This window comes from Homo sapiens, chromosome 8 (genome assembly GCF_000001405.40).
Source record: "Homo sapiens chromosome 8, GRCh38.p14 Primary Assembly".
Classification (NCBI taxonomy): Eukaryota; Metazoa; Chordata; class Mammalia; order Primates; family Hominidae; genus Homo; species Homo sapiens.
This window is the reverse complement of record NC_000008.11, coordinates 109,510,211-109,538,108: the sequence shown is the minus strand read 5'-3', so window position 1 is coordinate 109,538,108 and position 27,898 is coordinate 109,510,211. Positions and strand designations below refer to the sequence as shown.

Below are 27,898 nucleotides of genomic sequence, written 5' to 3'. Positions count from 1 at the left end.
CCCTGCACTCCAGCCTGGGAGACAGAGCAGGACCCTGACTCAAAAAAAAAAAAAAAAAAAATCCAAAATAACCTATATTCGGATATAAACGTGTTTAAATTTTTTTTCTTAAAGAGTTGATTGCTTTAGACAATTTATTATGCCCAAGGATATTTTCTTCTTTTTCCTGATTCTTCAGTTTTCTTTATTAAATTTGCCATTTCCAAATGAAACAAAACGAAATGTATATACTTTTCCAGAAACAGCTAGTTACTGAGTACTTGTTTCCCAACACAATAGCAAAACAGAAAACAAAGCTCGCTAAAGACTGCAAATTTAAAATTTACTTTAGTAATACCTATAAAATAATATTTTAAAATCATCTTTACTTGTTAAATAGTAAGCCCATAATTGGGATCACAAGTCAATAATTTGGGATTGGGTTTAGGGACCACCTCTTGGGAACAGGGAACTTTAAGTCCTGTCCTCTCCCCAAAGCTTGTGTGGGACGGGGGTAGGAAACCACCAGATGTCAAATGGGAGGAACATAAGGGATAGAACCTGGCATATGAATTTCTTTTACTCAATGGAATATAGTAAATTCTGTCTGCTCTGTGTCCAAACCATTTTGCTCACTTTAACGCTTCTGATCAGCCTCTGCCCAATTACCAGCTTGATTTATTCACACTATCAACCTCCAGCCCACCACTTACTCTCCCCTTTCAAAGCCTACATAGGCTTTGTTCTGACTTCTCCAGCTGGGGCTAACTCTGGCCTTGTCACCTGACCTGGCCCAGGAGGTAGGAGCAGACTGCAAACACAGCCCTCTGCTTCCAGATCTTTCCCAACCCAGTTCCCTGGCTTTTCATCAAAGGGTGGGTTTTTTTTCCCTCAAACACAATTTTAGACCTGCTGTTCTGACTTGGACTTTAATGGCTTTTTATTAATGAGCAGCTGTTCACAGTTGAATACAAGATCATAAAGTCACATTCATTTCTTGATCAAGTAAAACAAAGCTTTGCCGCACATAGAGTGACATCTTTGAGCAGATACATTTGAAAGCATAGGATTTTCTGATGAGAATTTTAATGAATTGTTTTATTAATCTTCCTACTGGAGAATTTTACTTGCTTTCAAAATAATAAACATTAATATTCTGGAAAATTATAACTTCTTTTTTAATACTCAAAATCACCATATACTAGTTAGGGTCAATTGCCTAATAGAGAAATCAAACAGTCTGAAGCAGATTTTTTATTTCTTTTCTATTAAATGAAAATTAACTTTCTATGAAGCATTTAAATAAATTTTTCCTCATAATTGTTATTACAATTAGCAGTAACTTTTATTGCTAAATACAGGAAGATTCAAAATTTAGTAACAATTTAGAGTTAACCAGTTTTCTTCAGAAGGGGCCTGGTTAGAAATCAAGAAAAATAATACATATATTTTAGTAGAAATAAATTCAAATGAAAAGATGAGGTGAATTCTCATTTTGTGTTCAGTGGTGAGGTTCAGCCACATCATACTTCTGGCTAATGTCCACATCGTTATTAGATTTATGACAGAGTTCAGCTATATTATGAATTAAGTAGAGTTGATGGGAACAGCATCTGGCAGTCTAAGACCTTTTGTTATTTCTAACAGTAAATGTATTGAAATTCATACAACCAACATAAAACAGTAGTTTGTAAATCTATCTTGTACATGGATTGAGAAAGTAGAAATAAAACAACATGAAACAATGTGAGACTCATTCATTGAGCTACAGCATGATGGACATCGTGACTTTGACCTTGAACAACTTTAAGCCTCAGTTTTCTCATCTGCAAAATTAGGTTAGTAATTCCTGCTTTACGGATTTATTTTGCAAATTAAATATCATACCATATGTGGAAATGTGTTGGAAACACAGCAATAAAATCGGTGAAACCTTTGAAGCAGGCAGATTTGTTATCTTCAAGATCAGTACAATCCCCTTTAGCTCACAACATGGAATAGTGCTTCCAAGAAATAGAGGTGAATTTTATGTCATCAGCAACCAGAAGTAGACATGTCTACTAGCAATATATTAACAAAGGGAAACAGGGAGGGACAGCCAGAAGTCAACCCTCCATACCCCCGCTTCTACCTTCTTTGTTCCCTTCTTTGTTCCCTTTGTTTTAAAGGCATAGGATGAAAGAGCAGCTGTCAGAACTATGACACTTACAATCCTTCCCCTCTCTCTCCAGGCTTTTATGTACTACTCATGGGATATTTATTTCATACCAAGATCTGTTGCCAAGTTTTGTCTATTCTTTCTTCTCAGTGTCCATCATTTCAGCACATCTGGATATCAAAATGATCTGCTAACTTAGTCTTTTGTATTTTACTATTTTCCTTCCTCTAAGTCAGTTTGTTACTTTGCTGTCTGATTAATATAAATATTGTTACACCTTCTTCATAGTAACTGACCTTTTTAAATTTTCCAGTGTCTAATTCAAATTCACTTAGGAGGATATGTGTCTTGATTGTTGCTTTTTAAACTCTTAATTTTGAATTGTTTGTTTGGGGATCTCCCTCTAACCACCCATGCCCTTTAAGACATACCAGAAATTCTTGTTAAAGGAGTTGGTCTATGTATACTGTACATTTCATACAGTGAAAATTAATTTAAATCTATATTTTGTACGTAGTTCTTATTTGAAATTAAATCCTTTAAGGATTACTTTCACTTGAAAATTGAACTCATAATCATACTAGAAATTTTTGATGTGAAAAACTTAATAAATTTATTTTCTTCCTAAGAATTTATAGCGTTTACATATATAAAGGATCATCTGCCTAAATGCATAAGTTACTGTAATGAAAAACCAAAGGAAAATACTATTGCCATGTAGCCAGGCACAGTCATAAATATCTTGCACAAAAGGAATTTTTTTTTTTTGCTCATAGGCACAGAGCCCATTACCATAGCAACTATAATTACTCAGTCTATAACTGGGTGTGAATTTTATACACTGCTACTTCAAACATTAAGGCTGTAAGTCAGGATAAAGTGCAGTTTCTGTAATATTTTTAAAAGATTTCTTAATCTCAAAAAGCAGGATAGGAAAAGTTTCATCATGCTACCCAATCATTGGTTTATCAGAAAGTTTATTTAACACTTACCATGGGCAGAGTGTGTGCTAAGCACTTTAGAGAAATTGAAAGAATACATAGTCCTTAACCTAAAAAAAAAACCTCTAATAAAGTCACATTCATGGGTGAATGGCGTTCTTAGAACAGTTTCTCCATGACCATCTTTCTAATTTCAGAATGATGGAATTATAATAACTACAGTACTGTATTAGGACTTGCAAGTACGGCAACAAGAGGTTTGTAGCTGGTTAGACTGCCCACAAGTATTCAAGTACCTACTGTGTCCCCTGTGGCAGACTTTTCCTATTTGGTCTTACACAGTGTGTCTGTAGCTACTCTCTGGGGAGGGGAAATTGGGGGAATAAATCTTAATATTTCTTTCACTGGAGACTGAACACTCCTTGCAGCTACTACCATAATGGGGAAGCTGAAAATGCCCACTGATGATCTTAGAAAAAGGGCAAGACTCTCCCACTGTTTTGGTAGGTTCCCCAACCCAACCCAACACATAATGGATTCAGATTAAAGTTTTTTGGGTTTTTTTTTTTGAGATGTGTCTCGCTCTGTCACCCAGGCTGGAGTGCAGTGGCGAGATCTCAGCTCACTGCAAGCTCCGCCTCCTGGGTTCACACCATTCTCCTGCCTCAGCCTCCCGACTAGCTGAGACTACAGGTGCCCGCCACCATGCCTGGCTAATTTTTTTGTATTTTTAGTAGAGACAGGATTTCACTGTGTTAGCCAGGATAGTCTCGATCTCCTGACCTCGTGATCCGCCTGCCTTGGCCTCCCAGAGTGCTGGGATTACAGGCGTGAGCCACTGCGCCTAGCCTCAGATTAAAGTTGAAGCATTTCCATTCGGGAGGGTATAGTAGTAACTCAAAGATGCATGTGGTATTTTAACCTTGGCATTGTCCACCTTTCCCATTAGGAAGGATTAACTCTCTGTTCTCTTGATCCTTCCAAATTTTGCCATCTCAGACATCTGATGAAAGCAGGAGATTTAGGATAACCACCAAATAACAATGAAACCCTAAAGGAGCAAGGGCTGGTATAGGGCACCACAATGTCAGGAACCCAAACTCCTTTCAGCTGAGCTCTCTGGGTTCTGGAAGAGGTATAAAAATATTCTTCACACAAGGACATTGTAAAAGCCATAAAATTGTCCACCATCTTAGTCTTTTCTTACCTAAAGTTTTAATTCAATCCACTGGAATTTTTTTTTTGTCAAGATTTTTCTGTAGATTTTTAGTAAGGAGATTTTCTAACACAAGTTATGGAGCAATAAAAGGCACTGGCCTTTATCCTCCAGGTCTCAGGAGCCATCTTGCTCCATGTAGCTGGAAAAACAGAAAGGGATGAAGAAAAGGCAAAGGGATGCATAATAGCTATGTTTTAAGGTCAGTTTCTAGAATATGCCACGAGATAATGTCTGTTTTTGTAACCCACTGCACAGAAATTGATCAGTCTCACTGCAAGTGAAGCTGGGAAATTGTCTTTGTTCTAGGTGGCCCAGTGCCCAGCCAATAATTCTAATAATTAGCACTCACATGGTGCTTATTACATGCCAGGCACTGTTCCAGTGTAATAAGAAGCCTAATGGTTTACTGGGCCAGGGATTGACATGATATAGGCCACATTATGGAAATAAAAACAAGAGTGGCTATCATTTTACCGCCTGTTAGGCACTGTGTTACATGTCATATATATGATACCATCAGTCTTCAGATGTCACACTTTCCACATTTTACAGTTGAAGAAACTGAGAATAATGGAAACTAAGAACTTGCCTGAGGGCATAGAAGTGGTAAAGTAGAAACCAAGAATTTGAACAGGAATTTGGATTAAAAACTCTTCCCAATGAAGCACTTGCCCATGCTTGAGGAAAAGTGGGAAGCAATTAAATGTTGGAATTTGGGCTCTGGAGTTAAATTGTCTGTGTTTGAATCCCAGCTTTACCATTAGTAGCTCTGTGAACTTGGGAATTTAACCTAACCCTTCAACATTTCAAGTTTCCTCATTTGGAGAAGGGAATAAGGTTATCCTCATAGGATTGCTGTAAGGAAAGGGTCCATGTAGAACACACAGCATAGTGTCTGGCATGTAGTGAACATGTGATAAACCTTTACTTTATTATTGATTATTGTTATTATTAGTGCTAGGGATATTTTAAATAGCACTTTTGGGGATAAAATGGATAAAAGGTAAAAACAGATGGACCATCTAGAAGTCATTGCAATGATCACAAGGTGATGGAATTTAGGAATGAGTAGAGACAGTAGTACAAGATATAAACATTTCACTTACTATGAGAAATACAAGAAGCTATTCTTATTAACTTTTTATTCTCTGTTTCTTACTTTGACCAAAATTGGAACAACATATTTACTTCGCCAACATTTCAGGTCTTAGGTAGAAGAATATTCACACATCAAAGGATTTTTATGACTTGTTCAAGAGCTAGATAGCCACTTCTTACAATACAAATTATTTTTAAGAATTTAAACATCAATTTCTGAGACAGAATGTTCAGAGAAATATTATTTAAATGCAAAAAAAAAGCAAAAATAAAACTTGCTTAGCATATGAATAAGGGACATGTGAAGATGTATTGCCCATGGATTCCAATAATTCAAGCATTTTTAAAAGTAGTAATTAAATTGTAATTTATCTGGAATAAGGAATTATTATGATAATTCTAGAATGTTCTTAAAAAGCAGACAGCCAGAAGCCTAAAGCAGTTAAAACAGGAACTTTTTAACAAAGTCTGTGTGGCTAAGAAGCAATTTTTAGAAATTCCTTTTACTGCCATATAACTTGTATTAGAAAATTTCCTTATTAAAAACTGACAGAAAAAATCTTGACAAAAAACTCCAGTGGGCTGAATTAAACCTTTAGGTAAGAAAAGAATACAGATGGTGGACAATTTTATGGCTTTTACAATGTTCTGGTGTGAAGAATATTTTTGTATCTCTTCCAGAACCCAAATGTAGGAATTTGTTCCATAGATGCTGGAATTGCAGTTTTTGGAATTTAGTTTTCCAACAGAAAGGAAGTATCACGGAATGAACAGTAAACTAGATTTGCCTTAGGAAGACTGATTTTTAAGTCTCAGCGTGAAATGGCCCATGTTGGGTCTCTTTCCCCCTCCCTATCCCAGGAACAGAGGTTTTTCACCCCACCAGGGTTGGAACTGAGGGGAGTATAAAAGTGCTCTGTTACCTGGTGCTGTACAATGAAGTATCAATGCTCTCTGGACATGGCAAATGTTCCTCATGAAGGGGCTTTCATGTATACTTTGAAGACTACCTTGTCAGGGACCTCTTACCTGCAATTCCCTTAAAATTGTGACTATTTCCATTCCAGCTGTTCATTTGAATTTTTTCTGTAGCCCCTAGGCCTTCAGTGGTCCTCTCCCAGTTTTCTTCCACTGCTCTTCTAGGTAGCCCTCCTGAACAAGGCTTAAGGCCTCCATATTGCTAGCAACCTCATGCTTTCTCTCTCTCTCTATCTATCTCTCTCTCCCCCTCCCTCTCTGTCTCTGTCTCTATCTCTCTGTCTTTCTCTGTCTCTCTCTCCCTGAGACAGTGATCATGTTGTATTGAAATGGTCTGTTTCCATTCTTTCCCCAAATATCCTGAAAACTCTTCGAGGGAAGGCATAGCATCTTATTTCTTGTAGCCTTCCTACTTACTAGAACACCCAACAGATACTGCTCAAGTGAATGAAATGCCACATTTATACCAAGATATTTGATTTTACTACCTGGTAAGTGTTTATACATTTTCTGCTAAGTAAGACTAACAATGATCTGAGGTGAATGTACTAGGAGATGTTATACAAGAGACAACGGTATGGGCTTTGTTGAATTCTCTCAGCTGTCCCAAATGTTTGCTGAGTGTCACTTGCTGGAAGGCTCTGGATCTGGCTACAATGTCTTTATTAGGAGTTCTGTCAAATTAAGTATTCCCTTTAGAATTTTCTGAGTAAAGAATTGCTATTTTCAATACTGTTAGAGAGTTCGGTTAACTTAGCTACCTTAGTCTGTAGCTTTTTTGCATTCTCTAATTTATCTTCTTGAAAATAAGTTCTGTTCTGTTGTTGACTTCCCACACTTTATACTTCATTCATCCAGTAAACAGTGAATAAGCATCCACCAGTTAAGGGAACCCCTCAACCCTCAACTCATGCCCGGGGTTGAGGGGAGTCCTGCTCTTAGTAGTGGCAGTTTTGAGTGGGAAGGAGGGGTAGGCAGAGAAGGAGTTTGGACTTGTTCCAAAAGTTCATTCCAAGGACAAGAAAACTTTTCCCAATATTGGCCAGAGTTGGGCAGATCCAGAAATACAGGACAGTCTAGAATTCCTGGGATTACTGTGAATCTGAAAGACAGGAACTCAGTGTGAAAAATCTGAGATGAGATTGTCATCTCAGATTGTGTGAAGACAATCTCGTCTCTCCAAAATCCTTAGAAACTAGAATGGCTTAGATTATTGGAAATCAAAACCTTGTAAATGGATAGAGAAAATAAGAACCCCCCCCCTCAAGTATTAAAAAGAATACTTAAAATGCTTCCAATCTGATGTAAAGAGCTTAAGTCGGAACTAGACAAGCTCTTTCCATTATTTAAAGGATTCTATGATTTGTTGGTACAATAACTTAGAGGTGTCATATCTACTTCCAAATGACAAATTTCTGGAAGTTTATTGAAATGAAATAAAAACATATAAATATAAAGAATCAAAACAAATTTATATTTTGAAGAAATCTGATTTTAGTGTTTAAAGCTAATTAGTACATTTTATATATCATAAAAATATTTTTAGTATATTTTCATGAAAATGCTATAGACTTTTGCCTATTGCCCAACAAAGTAGCTAATAATTCTTATATTTTTGTTTCAGCCTATTCTTCGGAACAGCACTTTAGTAGCTTCCTGAAAAATGGAAACAATACAAAACAATTTTTAAGTAGAAATAGCATATAGTATAATTTAAAATATATTTCATTAATTTTAACTTTTCTCATTTTTATGGTACAGTTAGCAGTATTTCCAAGTTTACCCATTTAATGTTAGAATCAGTAATGGTTTTTTTGTAGAAACTTATAGATTGTGGTGCTTATACAAGATTGTTTTATTTTTTATTTTTCACATTCAAAAATACACATTTAAAATATAAGGTCTTTTATTTAGTGAAACTTCATGATCCTCTTAAAAGTAATATATTATTCATTCAGAATGCAAAGTTATTAAAGAACCCAGCATTTTAATCCATTAATGGTGTTTAAATTTCTTATATTCTAATTGAAAAATGGTAGTTTATTTAGTAGCAAAGAAGAAGCCATTGATTAATCTTCTTATCTGGAAAAGTTCCTGGAAAAAACTCAGGAGCTATATGATTTACTAATTCTTTGAGAATAGAATTATATTAATTTGGTAAAGTACCAAAGTTGTCAGGAGTAAGCAGGATGAGAGTCTATAAAGGTTTTTGCACTTAATGAGGCAATGCAAAATGCACAAATATATATTGAGCAATATTTAGCCAATTAGACCTTATATTTTAATGCTTCTGAGAAAAAAATAAAATTAATTAAAGAAATGCTTGTCATCCTATTATAAAATAAACAATTGGTCTTACTTTTATTACTATTCTGGAGACAAGAAAACTGGCATAAAAATAACATAAACCCCCTTGTCTATATTCAGCTATAAGAGGCCAGAACAAGGTCTCTGCAAACTATGCTTCTCCCTTGACCGCTGGACTCCAATTAATTTCTTCCATTAGGAGAGAAGAAAGGATTTCCTTCTTCTTGTTTTCTGGCTATTCATGAAAGCCCAGCAGTTTGTTTCAGCCTCCAGTTTGTTTTGTCACTTCCAGACCCAGCCTTACTATGTCCTCTGATCCTTTATATTTAAATTTAAAATCTAGTCTTGGCTTTTATTGCTCAATATGCTTTAGTATTCTTCTAAATTGTTACCCCACCTCAAATTCTTCCTCGACTTTATTATACAGTATCTCTTATGTGATTTTTTTTCACTAACGTGTCAGAAACTCTCCCCCATCAAATGAATTGCAAACTGATTAATATGTTCCAATCAAAGCTCTTTACAATTTGCCCACAATACCCCTACTCAACATTTCCCCTTAAGTCAGAGGTAAAGACGCAACTTTCACTTTCAAGATTTAAAATCAATTAAACCAGATTTTTCGTACTTATAATATGTAAGGCATACAGTCTTGTAAGTGCTCACAATTTGGTGATGAAGATAGATTTGAATATAAGCTTAATACAAGTATATTACAGAAAGGACTATAATAATGATATAAACACAAAGTGCAATTGGAGACCAAGGGAGAGGAGAATTAAATGTAGAGTGGGAAGGAAGAAGGGAAACCTGCTGGATGAGGTGGAATTTGAGCAAGACCTAGAAGGATGCTGTGAGAGGTAACCTTGGTGAGTAGAGGCTGGCAGCCTAGGTATAGATATAGGGAATATGTAGGGTGGAGAGAATTCTTTCTGGAAATGATTTGGTAAAAGGAGGGAGTCTTCAAATCTGTTTTCAAGATCTTTGATGTTGATTATATTTTTTGCATGTAGTGAGGAATAGTTGAGGATTTGAGATTCCTGTTAGCATTACATGACCTTAAATCTGACAGCAATATGGAGGATAGGCAAAAATGGCACTGGCATTAACTGCGGGCGGAGAAGTATGTTTGTAAGGAGATGATGAGGAATTCTGTGCTAAACATGTATAACTGAAGATGTTTTATTCCACTGCCATTTTTTCCTTGCTCCTATCATGTCCCTGTTCTTGAGTGCCTTTTCCCTCCCTTTCCAAATCTTATACATTTTATACAGTCCCAACTTTCATGTGTTGCTAATGCAATGATATTTGCAGTCTTCTCTAATCATATAGGGACGTCTCCCTTTTATCAATCTCTCTAATATTCAATGTCTCTGTCTGCCTGTCATTCCTCGTACTAGCACCTTTATTATCCTTAGTGAAACTACACCTCTGCCATTCTCAGTACCTTACCCCATGTGACCAGGCCAAGCTAATTAGAATGCTGTGGCCACAGTGATTTGTTCAGGAATGGGCATGTGACCCAAGCCAGGTCAATGACATAGCTTTGGGGCTTTTCTCTGGAACTGTTGGGAAAGAGGTTAGCTCTTTCTGTATTGGTTGATGGGCTGGTAGAAGATGTTGGTGTGTACCTTTGTAATGAAGATTGGGGGTGGTGAGGAGTCAGCCTGGGAGTAAAGCTAACACCAAAGAGAGTGGAGCCAAGAGAAGAAGAGACAGAGGTTCTAGAAGATATCATCTGAGTCCTTAGATCCAACTGTTTGAGAAACCAGACAACTTCTGGACTTCTAAGTGATCACTTTACTAGCTAGATCAATTCAAGCTAAGAATCTGCATCTTGCAACTCAAAAAGAGTTCTGATATGACCTGCACTTTTGTTTCACATTATTTATTTATTTATTTACATACGTATTTATTTATTTATTTTGACAGAGTCTTGTTCTGTCACGCAGGCTGGAGTGCAGTGGTGGGATCTCAGTTCACTGCAGCCTCCACCTCCCAGGCTCAAGCGATTCTCCTGCCTCAGCCACCTGAGTAGCTAGGATTACAGTTGCCCACCACCATGCCCAGCTAATTTTTTTATATTTTTAGTAGAGTTAGGGTTTTGCCATGTTGGCCAGGCTGGTCTCCAACTCCTGACCTCAGGTGATCCACCTGCCTCAGCCGCCCAAAATGCTGGGATTACAAGTATGAGCCACTGTGCCCAGCCTTGTTTCACCACATTCTTATAGACCAACATGTAGTGAATAACATTTTCCATAGGTTGTCTTGTCTCTGCTATTGAGGCTGTTACTTTCTCTTTGTGCACACAGTGATATCATGCACAAGAGCTGTGCACACAGCCTTTATCCAGTAAACACTGGTACTTCAACATGTGGAGAAATAATGTATTAATGGACTGTACTTACTTAAAGTTATATTCAAAGTTGAAACTGCAGCCATAAATATTTCCAAGAGCCACATTCTTCCAACCAGACAGCTAATTACTACAGTCATTATCTGGGCATATGTACCCACAGTTGATGCTTTGCTGTTGCTGCTGCTGCTGCTGCCACTGCTAGAGACAGACTCTGCCAGCAGGCTGAAAGTTCTGGATTCTACCCCAACAACATTATCCAGTATAAATTCAATCTTATAATTTTTTCCTGGAAAAAAAAAGCATCATAGTGTTTGATTTCCTTTATGTTTTACTTGTTTTCATACCGTTCCCATTTGATTTTCATTGACTGAAAAACACTATATAGATCCTGATGAAATATTTTTGAAAGTTGAGTCAAATAAATTAGTTTAAGTACAGACAAGTATAGACAGGGTCTCAGAGTTAGAAGAGTTCTATCTGCCCATTAACTGAACAACAGGGAAGCTGGGTAGATTTTCTTTCTGCAGCAGCAGTACCTGCTTCTTAGAGCCCCTTCCTAGTGCCCAGGACTGGACAAAAACTGTTGGAAATGAGGGACAATAGGGAAGAGAGGTGAGGGTGCTGAATCTCAGTTTCATCCCTTCGTACTTGACCTAGCAGTAGAGAAGCATCAGTCTCAGTTGGGGGAGGTGGGGTTGGATACTGAACTTTTTATTTTGAAAAATTTCAAACAAGAAAAGAGTTGAAAGAATAATACAGCAAACAACCATATGCCTTCCATTAAGATTCAAAAAACTTTTACCATGTTTCACATTTGTTTGAAGTTAGATGCTATTTTTGTATTACAAGGCTGTGACCCTTTTTCCTTATTCCAGGTAGACATTTTAGAAACATTGTTACTTGTGTTTAGAATGTAAAAATGTTAAAGAGCTCATCCAATATTATTTAATCTCCAGGTTAAATCTTCCCACAGTTTTGAATAGGAGATAACCAATATATTTTTCCTTCCTATAATTTATTTTGGGTCTATGCTATCATTAATAATAGTCACCACACAGAATAGCATTTCTAATACTTGTACAGCCCTGTAAGTTTTTACTCATCTGTTTTCTGTGTTGTTTTTAAAAAGTCATTCCTGTTTTCATTCTTTTTTAGGAAAAGAATATAATTAGATCTTGATCACATCTGTGGTTTCATGAACAATTGCAATTCATTATATAACTTTCAGGATATATGGGCACTGTACTATAGAATTTTCTGTCACTGACAATTCCTGACAATGGTGTATTAAAATTTTTTTCTTTTTGCATTAAAAAATCTGAATTTTTGTGGCAGGTGAATTTTTTTATTAATTTTTTTGATGAGCAAATAATTTAGGGTAGTTCTTTTATTTTGTTTTTCTCCTCCTGAAGTACTGTGAAGAAGCCCAAGCTAGCCTTATGGAAAGACCACATAGAGGAGAATTGAAGAACCCAGCCAAAATCCAGAATCAGGTCCATAGAGATATGACCTCAATCAAGCCATCTTAGCCAGCTCTAGCTAATAGAAATTCCCAGCTGAAGCCGCAGACATTGGAGCAGTGGTGAGCTATCCTGGCCCAAATTTCTGACACACACAATTGTGAGCAAATGAAATGGTGTTATTAGATTTGGGGCTGGTTTGTTTCATAGCAATAGAAACTGAAACAAACACTAAACATTACATAGGACGCTAAACAAATATGTCCCAGTGTCTGTTAGTAATATTCTCCTTATCTAGGTTGGTTAAAGATGCAGATCCTTTTTCTCCCACCCATTTCTCACATCACTATTTTCTGTGTTAGAAACCACAACCTGTATCTCCTCTACCCAAGTACCCTGCTTTGCTCTTTATGGAGCTATATGTAGAAGAGGGGTGCTGTGCTGTCAGGCCGCAGTCTGATCAGCAAGGGGATTTCCTTCAGTGCAGTGACTGTGGGGGTTAACTGCTAGAAAGAGTCAGTGAAAGATATTTTGTTAATTTTCTCACTAATGCTTTGTTGTTATTCTAATTTTACTGTGGTTAATCTACAACTGGCTAATTGATTTAAAAATAATGAAGAGATTCCTATACTTGGCTTTCCTTATTGTACATAACCAGGGATGCCACACTTGATGAAGAAAAGAGGAGAGAGAGAGGAAGAGGGGAGGGGAGAAGGAGAGGGTAACAGAGAGGACAGAGGGGGAGGGAAGGAGGGATGGAAGGAAGGACAGAAGGAGGGAGGGAGGAAGGAAGGAAGGAGGGATGGAGGGAGGGAAGGAAGGAAAGGAGGAAAAGGAAACACACAGGTGAAGAGCACTGGCATTTCTCCTTGGCAAGTAAGACAGACCCTCCCAAGGGAAGCTTTGAATTCTGAAAAAAAACTTAACGTATGAAAGAAAAATGCTTAAATTATTATTTTGTTGCCACAGTAAAATGCCAAAACCTATTTTAGTGCTTTAGTGCTCCAGTGATCCTGGGTACTTTTGGAACATTGTAGTTTGAAGACCTTAGTCACAAGGTTGGTTCTTTTCCACTGGATACTTATTGGGTCCACCCTCATGAGGAGGTGAGCAAACTTCTTTTCAGGTAGGATTCTTGCCAGCTGCCTCATTTCCCATAAAAAAAAAATTCCATTTGGGCTGATAGTTAAAAGAATTTAGCTCTGTTCTAAACCAGAAAGCAGTGGGACACATTATCATTTAATTATTATCAAACATTAGGCTGAGATATTGCTGCCCAGTAGGCAGACTGAACATATCTGGCTTAGGGCACTATCAAAGCATGGAGAAACAAAAATTCAGGGAAAAAACTGGGGAGAGGGGTGCCACTACATAGCCTTTTCAGAAGTTAAGGCCCCTAACTATCTTAAATAGGCCCTGAGTTGGGACAAACAGAACAATGGAGGCCTTTCTCAAACGTAAGCGGTTTATCCATTTCATTCTTTTAGATACTCTACATTCTATCACCAAGAGAGATCTGTTCAGGGATATATCATCTGGACCCTGGTAGAATGGTTTTTACCAATCAGAGTTGTGTCATCAACCTATATGAAGATAGTATAAAAAAAGTAATTGTGGCAGTGATGGCTGTATTTACTGCACCGATGTTGAAGATATCACTTAATACAGATTAATTGTGCACACTTTCTGAAAAATCACAGGAGACATTTGTTCTGTTCTCAGAGAATATTATAATTCTCACAGCAACTGATCTGTTTAGTTGATGGGTACTGTAAATTATGATAATGCTCATTTTCTCTCTTGCTTTGGCTTTCAGAAAGACCACAGCCAACTTTCTAGCCCAACTCTGAACTCCTCCTTAAGACATTAAAGTTATATGAGCCTACCTTATCCTTTCTTTTATTGAATTTGAAAATCTGTATGTTAATTTTTCTTACTATAAATGTAGTACATCTTTAGTGAGCAAATTTAGGAAAGTATACAAATGGATAAATCATGATATAATTCGATTTCCTTAATTTTTTATTTTAATTTCTATTTATTTCACATATGAAATCTATTCTTAAGCTAGACTAAATATTTTCTGAAACAAGGCAAAATATAGCATTCTGATGTCTATAATTTATTGACCAGAGTGTTACAGAATGCTTTGTTCATTAAAAGAACATTATAATTGTCTCTATTTATGGCTATATATGTGAGGATCCAAAATAGTGCACCCACCTGTTCTAAGGGGAGTAAGGTCTGTGTAGTTGGCCCAACAGCTGCTAAACGGAATTGTTGTATTTCCACTAAGGCCATTGACTTGGTTATTATTGGAGTCCTTGAGTATGGCCCTCAAAGTTAGTGCAGTAATTCCAACTGATACACAGTTACCCTAAAAAAAAAAAAAAAGTAGATAATTATAACAATTGTCCTGTTTCCATGCTTTTAAAAATATATGCAAAACTTTATTTTTAAAAATGCCTCATTATAAATTGAAAATCTGCAGAAGCTCCTTATTCCACACAAAGAGTTCATAAACCTGAGCAGCAGAAGTTCGTTTAACATAAACATTTTTGAGACATTACAAGATGGTATCCTTGGATATTAGTCCAACTTCTGAAAGGGCCGTGTGATCCTCAGGCTGCCAGCACACCAGGATGAGTGAAACTGGCTCATCCTTCAGAATTTGTAGCTTAATTCCTTCACTTAAGTAAAATTTTGAGTTATGACTTACGTCAGAATCTGTTGCCTTTACCGAAGGCTGCTGAGGAAATGGCTGTCCTGGCTGTGCTGCCACCGGCTGAGTGATCACTAAGAGTGAGGACACGAAGGCCACGTGATGAACAGGAAATGCAGACCTTTCAACTGGCTGGGCAGTCACCTGTGAATGCACAAGGGATGAACTGGTTTCTTCATGATAAACTACACTCAGCAGCAAACTCATTTTAGCCAGGCTGAGTATAAAATATTCATTATTTATTTTGGAATATGTTCAATATGCAAAATTAATATAATTACAATATTTCCTCCATTACATTTATGAAGCATTGTTATAAATATGCAAAGCAAAACAAATTTATAACCAATACACAACTTTTGGAAGATATGCTCCTTTGTTCAAACAACTTTATTATCATTTTAGCGAGCCTATAAAAAGTCAACAATAAATAAGAAAGACATGCCTGCTAAATTATTGTTTTGAAATAGAAACAGAGAGTTAAAATAAGAAATAAGTAATGATATTTTAAGTCCCAAAAAATGCATTTTTTCTAGTTGCATTTTCTTACCTTAATCCACCCAGAGTCACTTGGGCTGGGGAGGGGATTAGTAATAGACATGGACGAAATGTTAAATCCAAGGATACTACTGATGTTTCCTAAAATTACAGCTTGTCCAAGAGAACCAGCAATTTCCTGGAGTTCAGATAACTGCATCTGACCTATGGGGAAAAGTATTATGACATTTGGATTATAAAAGTATAGAATTGTGAGAACACATGAGAGTTTTTCACTTTAGCATTCTTTGCATTGCTCCATCACATTATAGAATTCTAAGGCTTTCTAGTCTTACCTGAGCAAAACACAGCAGTCATATTAATGAGGGGAGGAAAAGGAAGAACTCAGGAGAATATATTTTAAGTTGGAATTAAAGGAAAAACAAAGGTAGATAAAACAGATACAAGAAAAACGAATGAAAACATAGTGGGAGAATATATGTCTCTTAATTTAATACTTTCTCCTACCAATCTTTGTTTACCAATGAAGCATTATCATGCATTTCTATTATCATGTGTCATTTTAAAAAATAAAGTGTTAATTTTGGAATGGAAGGATTGTTAGAATCGATCATATTATGTGTATGTATTAATATACTAGTTGCTAAAGTTATTAAATTACTAACCAATTGTTACTTGCTTTGGACATTTGACAATTTTCAGTTACTTTTAACACTACATATAGTTCTGTTCCCCTTTTCTAGCATGGCAGGTCTGGGGTTTCCTCTTAAACCTTCTGCCCCCACAGTGCTCCTTACCTTAAAAAGTGGTACCTTAATGCACCATATTCCTTTTTTCAGAAGCCTAGTAGTTTTGCTTAATCCCTGCTCCTTCACCTCTCCACTACACCACATCTAATCCATTACCAATTTCTAACTCTCTCTGTCCCTGTTGTTAAAATCCTAATTAAAGCCACATCAGCAGGGTTACTAAAACCACTTTTAAACTGGCCTCTGGAGTCAGACTGATCTTTTAAGAAACAACTGTAAACCAGGATAATGTTTTGGTGTATTGCAGGCCTTGCTAATCCCTTGTTCCTAGGTATCCTGTACCTTCTATATTCAGAGTCATGCCTTGAGGAATCAAATCACTGAGTTTCTTCTATTAAAGTTAAGCCATAAGGCTTAGAGTGCTCAGGAAGAAGGAGGTAACGTCTTGGGCCAGCAGGTCTGACATGACACTATGAACCCCACAGTCCTAAGCTATTTCAGTCCTTGTCAGTTTAAAAGGACTCTTTTGGATGACTCAGACTCTTTTGGAAAAAGGCTCAGTCTTTCAGATTCCTCCCTCTCCTCATACTCCCTCCAGAAACAGCCTTCTCCAGGGAGGCCTCCCAAGTCTGAGGGCTTGTATATCTAGCTGTAGCAGTACAGAACTGCTTCAGGTCCATGCACTACTATTACTACTTTGTCTTCACTGGTTTTTGGCATGGAGTGGCAGGTCTGATGCAGTCTGCACTGTTAACAGGTTCTCGCTGACCGTTCGACATGTGAGGGCATTCATTTCTGCTGATTGCCATCTAGAAACCAAAGACCTTAACTTGAAGGCCTCTTATTCCTGGCTGTAGGACTGTCTGCTCATAAATGCCTTTAATACATAGGTAACCCCTTTCTAGGACATCTGGGAATTTCTGGATATCCTGATACTATATAAAAGCTATAAGGAGCCAGGAGTACAACTACATGAACATCTTTCTTGCCACTTCTCAACATTTTGCTGTGATTCACCAAGTTGTAGGGTTCTCCTTGAGACTTGAAACACTATCGCAGTCTATGTCTAGAAAATGTGCCATTAGCCTGTCCCTCCCACCATCCCTAACTTCTACATTCTTCAGTGGTCTTATACCTGTCTGGATAAATCTAACAAGCTAAAACTGCTTTAAGGGGATGGATGTAGGAGGGATTGTATGTGGGGAAATATATGTCACATGTAAGAAATAAATCCCAGTTTCTTTGGATATCTAGTGGCTAGTGTGGTAAATTTTGGACCTCACGACACGTAAGGGCTCACCAGGGATTTCTAAGAGTAGGTGAGTAATCTGTATATGTGCCATGGGCCCTTTACAACTCCTAAAATAACAGGCAAAGTCATGCTGAGTCCAAACCCTGAGCCTGTAAGTCCAAGTGAGTACAGAACTGACGAAGGAAAGTTAACTATTACTCTGGGCAGAGAACATCGTGGGAGATCTGGTTGCAACACAAGCCTAGGCTTCCTACGCTCTTCTAACCAAGAGTTTATAAACACCTCCCTCCACACAGGCAAGCCTTCCCACAGGCTTATCCCCCCAATGGAAGAAACTTCCACCTGCTTAGCTGATAGAATTCCAGAGTGATAATGTGGTAGGTGCATAGGGTCAATGCCTAGAAGCAAACCTCTTGGGAAAATGAGTGAAGATCTCTAGTGGCATAAAGTGAGAACTTCACCCAGTACCCAGGTTTACACAGAGCCTGGGAGTTTAATGATAAAGTGACTGAACACAGGTAGATAGGGTAGATCCCAACCTAGTGGGGCTGCAGTTTATATATGTCTGGACGATCTCTTTAGGAAAAGGAATGCAGAAAAATCATACCTTTGTAGCTTTCATAATAACATTCAATGATTTGACCACATTATGAGGACCTCTCCTAAGGTATTGAAAGTGAAAGCCCCTCCCAGGACTTGTATCAGTGAGGGGGCTTGAAGTGTAAGCTTCATTAACTGGATGGTAAGTCTTCCTCTGACAGATACCTGCCTTTCCTGTTCTTGGGGAGGGGTACACCTAGATCAGAGTACTTGTGCTTGACCACTGAAGACAAAGGCATGGTTGCAGGTTAGCAGTGGGGGATATTATTGCATCCCAGAAGACCAGGAAAGTTCAGTAGTACCTCAAGAGATGCATATGTAGAGCAGAGAAGATGACCCACTCTGTACCAGAGGCTGTGAAGACAAGATGATAACATGAGGACGGAGGCCAGAACAGCCCCTTGGTATTCAGACCCCAACTTGAAAGGAGCAGATGGATAGAGAAAATTTGAAGAGCTGAGCATTTACTCAAGTGCCCAAACTGAGTGACCCTAAGGAAATGATTTCAGCCAGCAGAGATTTCTCTGATGGGACAGTTGAGCTTATTTTTTTATCTCTGATAAAAAATAGGAAGTGAGGGACACAGAGAGGGGATGATGGCTTGTGAGGATGATTCGCTCAGTCACAGGAAATAAAGACAGATTATGTACTTGCACATCTGCCCTTTTTGGGCTGAATCTGTGACTTTACTGTGGAAATCTAACCCACCAATCTACTGCTCAGAATATCCAAGAATATTTACTCTTTTTCTTAAGAAAACATCCACAGTCCTTCCTTTGACTTCCAAAGCTTTCCACATCTAGCACCTGTCTACCCCTTGGCTACACCTCCAGCAGCTTGTCCTTCCTGGCTCCTTCCACTCCAGACCAATCGGACCTGTTTCCTCTCTTCAAATGCACCAAACTCTCACCAACAGTTTCCATAGCTTGAACACTCTTTTTCCTCTGTCTTTTCATTGACTATCTTCATCCTTAATCTCTCATCTGTAAGGTCACTTGCTTAAGTAGGTCTTCCCAGATCTTTTTATATTAGATCAAATTCTTTTGTTGAACTTATTAATCATCACAATAACAAAACAGAGATTCAAATTCCTTCCAATTCTAAAACAGTTTGGTAGTACAGGAGCAAAGAAGGAAAAAGGGTCTCTGGGCACTTAGAGGGTTCAGGATGTGGGGTTGATGGGATTTCCTGAGGCCAGGCTCACCAAGCCCTGATCAGGTTATTTATGGATATGGATTTGGTAATTGCATTCCTCCATCTCAAACACCTGTTATTCATACCTGTGGTGCCATTGCTTATGAACTGAATAGGAGGGTCTCCAATCTCTATTTCAATTATGAATCCCATGGATCTCTTCCTCCTCAGACTCTTCCCTCTTATTTTGCTGATACGGATTTTGTCACTTGGTATCTTTAGGAACAAGGCAAGATTTTTAACCAGATTGTGAGAGGTATAAAAGTCATCTTCTGTTGCAACAGATAATTGGAAAGAAACAAATATCACTGTGGCAGTGTGAATTTCAACAGGTATAGTTCCTTTAACCAAAAGATAAAGCATCTGGTAGGTTCCATCAAAGTAGTTTTCACCAAGGACAGTGGAATCCAGGTTAGGAAGGAATTGGTCTATGAAGGAAAAAAGCCAGAACATCACAGCTAAGTATTTTATATTATCACAATCAACATGCGTTACTTAATGTTTGTTTGAATTTAGAAAGTCCCCCAAATTCAACTTTATCATTCTTTCATAAGAAAGCATACCTTTTTAAAAACAAAAACACTTATAGAACTGACCTGCGAAATTAAAGCCACTCCTTTAAAAAATACCACAAATAATCATTACACATTGTTTGTTTTTTAAAAATTAGCTATATAGACACAGTATAAATGAGAAACAAATCAAGTTATGATCCCAGGAGCCTATACTGTAGTTGAAACCCTATTCACATGCTCATAATTTTAAAGCCTTGACTGAAGGCATTTGGTAATTTAAAAATATAAATTTAACTTTACTAGCTATCTAATTTATACAGTGCTATATGCCAACTCTTAAAAGAGCATTTACAATTCAGTGTTTCTATTTTAACTAAGGACAAAACTGTGTAATAAAAATGAAGTATACATTAAAACATCTCAGAAGAATCTTATACCAACTAAACAGGCTTACATTTCAGCCTGAAAAATGTTTGGCTAATGCAAGACAAATTCTGCTAGGAAACTGAATTTTACAAAAGTGATTGAGATCATTATAATGAATGAATATATGTATGATTTTATGGCAGAGTATCAACAATTTCTAAGAGCTAACAAACCCACTAACACTTATTGAGCCCAGACAAACACTGAATTGTGTAATAGTGGTGGAATGAGATATGTAGCTTCTTACCACATTTCATTGTGAGGCTTACTAGGAAAAAGAAATTAAAATTTTAGGAAGAAGAAGGAATTTCACAGTAATGAAAGGAGCAGAGACAAAGATCATAAACATTTGGGTAACTCCCAAAATATGTATAGGTTCATAACACAGGGATATTATTTTGCATGCCAAGTGCCAAAGCAAAACGTTCACTTAAAAGCAACGCTGTTTCAGAAAAACACCACTACCACTACCATAAAACACACATTTATCTGTAAGAGGGCAGTGGCGGAGTTGTTTTCTGGCTCTTCAGCACCTACATTATCAATTCTTTACATTACGTTCTGTCTATGGAGAACAAAATAATATCCCTGTGTTGTGGATCTATACATATTTTGGGGTTTTGGAAATGTTTTATTAATATCTATGTCTGCTTTTTTCATTACTGTGAAATGCCCTCCTCCTTTTAAAATTTTAATTTCTTTTTCCTAATAAGCCTCACAATGAAATGTGATAAGAAGCGAAGTGCCTTATTCCACTATTAATTATACAATTCAGCATTTGTCTGGGTTCAATATATGTTAGTGGAACTCTCTGCCTATGAAGATAGTTCCTATTTTCCTAACTCTGAATGATATTGTGCTTGGTACCATATCTGTTATTTGAAAAGAGTGAACAATTTATTAAAATTAAGCTATAAATGCCATTTTATTCATGACACAACTATTTATATATAAAAAGTAGTAACGCTGACTCTCTTAATTTAAAAGAAGGAAATATAGCATAATGGTTAAGTGCATGGGTTTTACAGCTAGACTGTTTTTGAGTTCTTGCTGTGCACCATACCAGCTTGAGACTGCTATGGACTGAATTGTGTCCCCAAATTTTACATGTTGAAGCCCTAATCTTCAAGGTGATGATATTTGGAGATGAGAGCCTTTGGGAAGAAATAGGGTTTAGATGAGATTGTGAAGGGGGAGACCTCATGATGGAATTAGTGCCCTTCTAAAAGGAGACACCAGGGAGCTTGCTTGCACTCTCTCAGCCATGTCAGGACACAGCAAGAAAGTGGCCATCTGCAAGCCGAGCAAAGAACCCTCAGCAGAACATGACCATCATGGCACCCTGATCTCAGACTTTCAGAGATCCAGAGAAAATAAATTTCTGTTGTTTGAGCCACTCAATTTGTGGTATTTTGTTATGGCAGACTGAACTAAGACCACTATCTTGGCAAATTACTTCCTGTGTCTCAATTTACTCATCTGTGCCTACCTCATAGAGTTACTATGATGTAGTAACAATGAGTTACATATAAAGCATGTAGAGCTGTGCCTGAAATATAGTAATGTCTCTGGAAACATTAGCAGTTCATGTTATTAGTAGGAATATGACTTCTTCTATAAATGGTAAAGCAAACAGATTACCCATTCATATTTTCAAGTCTAGCTCATATTATGATCTACCACACACATCTATATAATGGTTAGCCAAGAATATGGATCATATCAGAAAATGATGATGAGTAGCCCATGTGGAATGGAATGTATGCTATTGGCCTCATTAGAACCCTGTTTAACAAAAAGACTTACATAAGCAGAGATAAATGCTGGTTTTACAAATATCGGTCAATGAATAAGTTTAGCCTCTTCCACATGTTTCATTTAACACAAGTTTATTTTATCATATTTACTTCACAACCTTCAGTTGATGTTATATTAGCTTTCTTGGCAATAATTCTTATGACTGCCAATTAATTTAGGTTCTAACTTCTATGAAATAGAAGTAAAGCCAAGATAAGGTGAAACTTTTAAGCAAAATCTCTTCTAGACATAGGAAGAACTGAACTCAATGTATGCAGAATGAAAACATTCTTAGGAAGCAAAAGAATGTCCATGATAAACAAAAACTCATATCTGCATGTGCACAGATAAATAAGTTCCATTAGGAGTGATCTTTCAAGACACTCATGTTACAAATGAAAACATCTTAGTATTTGGTGGACTATGGCTAAAAACTTGTTTTCTTCTCCATCATTGATAGATAAGGAATTAAAAATACTAATAATCAGACACTTAAAATATTATAAATAAGTACATTTTCCATGTGTACTGTATTTTTTCTGAGACAATACCTTTGTACAGATGGTTATTAAGTTCACAGTGTTTCTGCTGGGCATTCCATATTGTAGTTTTTGGACAGACCAATAAGTTGTTCACATAGACATCCAAACGTTGAAGTGTGGAAAAGAAAATTCCTACTAGAACAGCCTATTAAAGAAAAAAAAGTTTTAAGAAAGCAACAAAATAGAATATTTGTAATTTAGCACTTAAACCGTCCTTCAATATTGTATACTTTCTGCAAACTATTAAAACTAAGTTTTATGGATTTGGGATAAGGGATGAACTAAAATTTTAAAATGGGCTTACATTCAACCATTCATACAGATAGTACAACTTAACCCTTAATTGACTATTCTTAGTAGAAAAGTACAATAAGAGAAATTATTAGAGGAGTATCTCTGAGTTTAAAGAAAGATTCATTTAAAAGACAACAAAGAACAATACAGGCTTTCAATATCAGGAGCAGGGAAAGAGGGACTTAGCTATACTCTGTATAATGCAGCCACACAAAATTAGGTACTTAACGTTGGAAAAAAAATGATTACCTCTGAGAAAAATTTGGTAGGAAGACTAATAAATGTCAAAATAACTATCCTCTCTGATTCAATTTTATTCATTTTTCATGTTTATATTGCTTACATTTCATGCTCTCAGCTATGATCATAAAGAGACTGGCTTTTCCAAGAGCAGGGAAGGATTAATATGGAGCTTAATAAGCTATACATTAGTTCTGGAATCTTCTTTGGATATTGTCTTCAGAGGCTCAGAATATTGACAGTCACATTACTTTGTAGTCACCATTCTCATTTTTAGAGGTAAAATATTCTCTTCTAATTTTTTACAAAAGAAAATTTTGAGTTCCTATTTCAGCCATGTGGTATTCTAAGTGCTGGCAGAGCCACTGGCTTCTCTGAGCTTATATTCAAGAGTGATGAGAAACAAAAAATAGAAATAATAAAAGGTAAAGTAGGAAACATGTTAGATGGTGATGAATCCTGTGGAGAAAAGAAAAAAGTAAATCAGGGTGCATGTAACTTGGGAGAGCCAAGCAAGGAGGCGTGATCTTGGAGGCCTATTGAGAAAGTGGAATCTGAGGAGAGCGGAACTTTAGCCACTTAGGGAAGAATGTTTTAGACTGAGGCAACATCAGAAACATAGGCCCGGGAGGGTAGCATGTTTGGTGACCGTAGGAACAGCAAGGAGCTCAGTGGGGCTGGAGGAGTAGAAGAAGCCAGAGAGCTCAGGGGTGGGAGAGATTCCCATAGGGCCTCACAGGCCATGGTGAGGATTCTGACTCTTGGACAGAGACCGATAGGGAAATTGTTACAGGGTTTGGGGCATGGGAGAGACGTGATCTGACATATTTTCACGGTATCTGGCTACTAAGTTGAGAACAGACTATAGAAGGGCAAAGGTGGAAGTAGAAAGAGGAATTAGGAGGCAATTACCATGATCCAGGAAAGGCTCAAACTGGATAGTAGCAGTGGAGGTGGTGAGAAGTGGGCAGATTCTGGTATTTTGAAGACAGACTCAAAACAACTTGCAGATGGGTTGGATGAGGAATGTGAGCAAAAGAGAGGAGTCAAGAGTGGTTCCAAGGTTTTGTCTGGAGCGAAGGGATGGAACTGCTGTCTCCTGGGAAGGGGCTGGTGCCTCCTTTCTTTACTCCTTTCTCTGCTTCACCTTATCAGCATTCTTTCTTCACATTAAACACCCTGGGACTTTAAAGTCTCATATTCTTAGAAAAGAAAATCTGAGTGATGACACTACTGGTTAAACTCATACTCTTTTCATACTTATTAAATATAAATTTAATGATCCTGGCTGAGTTCAGTTTCTAGCAAAGACTTGACATTATTGAAGATATTAAAAATAACATGCTGCAGTCTCTGAAGTAAATTTCAAAGGTGTATTTCTGATATATATATAAGTAATAGCAGCATTGAAGAATAAGTATATAATTCCAAGTGATCAGTTTTGGATGTACATTATTTTTATGTAAAAATTTAGGGCAAAAACTGGAAGCATTCCCTTTGAAAACTGGCACAAGACAGGGATGCCCTCTCTCACCACTCCTATTCAACATAGTGTTGGAAGTTCTGGCCAGGGCAATTAGGCAGGAGAAGGAAATAAAGGGTATTCAATTACGAAAAGAGGAAGTCAAATTGTCCCTGTTTGCAGATGACATGATTGTATATCTAGAAAACCCCATTGTCTCAGCCCAAAATCTCCTTAAGCTGATAAGCAACTTCAGCAAAGTCTCAGGATACAAAATCAATGTACAAAAATCACAAGCATTCTTATACACCAATAACAGACAAACAGAGAGCCAAATCATGAGTGAACTCCCATTCATAATTGCTTCAAAGAAAATAAAATACCTAGGAATCCAACTTACAAGGGATGTGAAGGACCTCTTCAAGGAGAACTACAAACCACTGCTCAAGGAAATAAAAGAGGATACAAACAAATGGAAGAACATTCCATGCTCATGGGTAGGAAGAATCAATATCATGAAAATGGCCATACTGCCCAAGGTAATTTATAGATTCAATGCCATCCCCATCAAGCTGCCAATGACTTTCTTCACAGAACTGGAAAAAACTACTTTAAAGTTCATATGGAACAAAAAAAGAGCCCGCAACGCCAAGTCAATCCTAAGCCAAAAGAACAAAGCTGGAGGCATCATGCTACCTGACTTCAAACTATACTACAAGGCTACAGTAACCAAAACAGCATGGTACTGGTACCAAAACAGAGATATAGATCAATGGAACAGAACAGAGCCCTCAGAAATAATGCCGCATATCTACAACTATCTGATCTTTGGCAAACCCGAGAAAAACAAGCAATGGGGAAAGGATTCCCTATTTAATAAATGGTGCTGGGAAAACTGGCTAGCCATATGTAGAAAGCTGAAACTGGATCCCTTCCTTACACCTTATACAAAAATTAATTCAAGATGGATTAAAGACTTAAATGTTAGACCTAAAACCATAAAAACCCTAGAAGAAAACCTAGGCATTACCATTCAGGACATAGACATGGGCAAGGACTTCATGTCTAAAACACCAAAAGCAATGGCAACAAAAGCCAAAATTGACAAATGGGATCTAATTAAACTAAAAAGCTTCTGCACAACAAAAGAAACTACCATCAGAGTGAACAGGCAACCTACAAAATGGGAGAAAATTTTCGCGACCTACTCATCTGACAAAGGGCTAATATCCAGAATCTACAATGAACTCAAACAAATTTACAAGAAAAAAACAAACAACCCCATCAAAAAGTGGGCAAAGGACATGAACAGACACTTCTCAAAAGAAGACATTTATGCAGCCAAAAAAACGCATGAAAAAATGCTCACCATCACTGGCCATCAGAGAAATGCAAATCAAACCACAATGAGATACCATCTCACACCAGTTAGAATGGCAATCATTAAAAAGTCAGGAAACAGTAGGTGCTGGAGAGGTTGTGGAGAAATAGGAACACTTTTACACTGTTGGTGGGACTGTAAACTAGTTCAACCCCTGTGGAAGTCAGTGTGGTGATTCCTCAGGGATCTAGAACTAGAAATACCATTTGACCCAGCCATCCCATTACTGGGTATATACCCAAAGGACTATAAATCATGCTTCTATAAAGACACATGCACACGTATGTTTATTGTGGCACTATTCACAATAGCAAAGACTTGGAACCAACCCAAATGTCCAACAATGATAGACTGGATTAAGAAAATGTGGCACATATACACCGTGGAATACTATGCAGCCATAAAAAATGATGAGTTCATGTCCTTTGTAGGGACATGGATGAAATTGGAAATCATCATTCTCAGTAAACTATCGCAAGAACAAAAAACCAAACACCACATATTCTCACTCATAGGTGGGAATTGAACAATGAGAACACATGGACACAGGAAGGGGAACATCACACTCTGGGGACTGTTGTGGGGTGGGGGGAGGGGGGAGGGATAGCTTTAGGAGATATACCTAATGCTAAATGACGGGTTAATGGGTGCAGCGCACCGGCATGGCACATATATACATGTGTGACTGGCCTACACATTGTGCACATGTACCCTAAAACTTAAAGTATAATAATAAAAAAATAAAAATTTAGGTTTGCTTCACGTATGGAGTACCAGAATCAAGTGCATATGGCAAGGGGATGATGGTGATGCTTGGTACTTGTACCTTCAGGTTGATGAAAACTGTCTAGGCTAATAATAATTTCAGTGGTACCCTGATGCATCCTTGGAAATGAGCTGTAAGGCTGACAATGTTAGAACAGGGGAGGAGGTACAAGCCTTAGCAGATAGAAATAACATGCAAATAATCAACAGCAATTACTCTTAAGACATCTTGCCCTACCTTGTTATGATCAACATTAAGCAACATCAGTCGAAGATTCTGAGGACTGGTGCCAGTGAAGTAAACTTCATAAGATTTGTTCAGAGCCACAATGCTGTGAAACAGGGACAGCCTTCTCTGGCATGTATATCCAGCACACCAGCCATGATCCTGTGGGCCTAAATCCATGCAAAATGAAAGTGCATACTCCTATATCATACATTTTATTAGTATAAAATCTGAAGAGTAATTGTATTAAAAATAAATTGCAGTGGTCAAGTTCAAATGCAAGTTCAGCATTTATACCTATTACCCATCCACCGTTACCCAGCCAGCTAAGCTATTTCTCAAACCTTGGCTTAAAAAGGAAGGCAGGGAAGAAACTTCTTCCTATCACCCTACTTTTACACTGCCCAGGGCAAGAAGGGTACATTAATGTGTTAATAAGAATTTGTATCGGAAGGTCACTGATAGAAATAGTAGATTTCCATATATCTCTTCTTTAATGATAATATTCAAGCCTAGGCCACATGGTGAGGAAGAAAATGCTTGATTCTTTCTTCTCTCTACCAAATATAAGCTTGAGTGGGAATTGAACTTTCTCAGGCTCTTTGTTAGGAAATGTGCTATAATAGAGTTAATTTGTTAACAATAGGCTCTGTACCTGGCAAACATGGACATTTGAATGCCTGAACCATTGATTCATTAATTTGTTCTTTCACTCATGCACTTGTTTTTTAAAAGT

The 27,898-nt window shown here is 37.4% G+C and overlaps 1 protein-coding gene across 7 annotated transcripts in view, besides 4 other annotated features; it reads right to left on the bottom strand.

Moving 5' to 3' along the window:
- Positions 1-901: 901 nt before the first annotated feature.
- Positions 902-27,898, bottom strand: part of PKHD1L1 (PKHD1 like 1) — a 174,747-nt gene continuing 147,750 nt past the window's right edge. For 6 of the 7 annotated variants that reach the window (NM_177531.6, XM_017013971.2, XM_047422421.1 and 3 more), the window contains 8 exons: positions 27,175-27,332; positions 22,804-22,939; positions 19,601-19,942; positions 15,772-15,923; positions 15,219-15,365; positions 14,723-14,876; positions 11,089-11,325; positions 902-8,029 (listed from right to left, as the gene is read on the bottom strand). In NM_177531.6, the coding sequence (NP_803875.2) occupies positions 8,019-8,029; positions 11,089-11,325; positions 14,723-14,876; positions 15,219-15,365; positions 15,772-15,923; positions 19,601-19,942; positions 22,804-22,939; positions 27,175-27,332 (1,337 nt within the window). In that variant the 3' untranslated portion in view covers positions 902-8,018. The remainder of the gene's footprint in view (positions 8,030-11,088; positions 11,326-14,722; positions 14,877-15,218; positions 15,366-15,771; positions 15,924-19,600; positions 19,943-22,803; positions 22,940-27,174; positions 27,333-27,898) is intronic. The other variant, XM_011517371.3, reaches the window with a different exon arrangement.
- Positions 12,648-12,767: an enhancer, noted in NCBI's record as "active region_27809". NCBI's record gives its function as "activates an Ori minimal core promoter by ATAC-STARR-seq in GM12878 lymphoblastoid cells {active_cell/tissue: GM12878}" and the evidence as "EXISTENCE:reporter gene assay evidence [ECO:0000049][PMID:35858748]".
- Positions 14,796-15,995: an enhancer, noted in NCBI's record as "MED14-independent group 3 enhancer chr8:110534343-110535542 (GRCh37/hg19 assembly coordinates)". NCBI's record gives its function as "activates an origin of replication core promoter dependent on BRD2, BRD4, P300/CBP and CDK7 cofactors, and independent of MED14, by STARR-seq in HCT116 cells {active_cell/tissue: HCT116}" and the evidence as "EXISTENCE:reporter gene assay evidence [ECO:0000049][PMID:35650434]".
- Positions 15,095-15,184: an enhancer, noted in NCBI's record as "active region_27808". NCBI's record gives its function as "activates an Ori minimal core promoter by ATAC-STARR-seq in GM12878 lymphoblastoid cells {active_cell/tissue: GM12878}" and the evidence as "EXISTENCE:reporter gene assay evidence [ECO:0000049][PMID:35858748]".
- Positions 15,195-15,244: an enhancer, noted in NCBI's record as "active region_27807". NCBI's record gives its function as "activates an Ori minimal core promoter by ATAC-STARR-seq in GM12878 lymphoblastoid cells {active_cell/tissue: GM12878}" and the evidence as "EXISTENCE:reporter gene assay evidence [ECO:0000049][PMID:35858748]".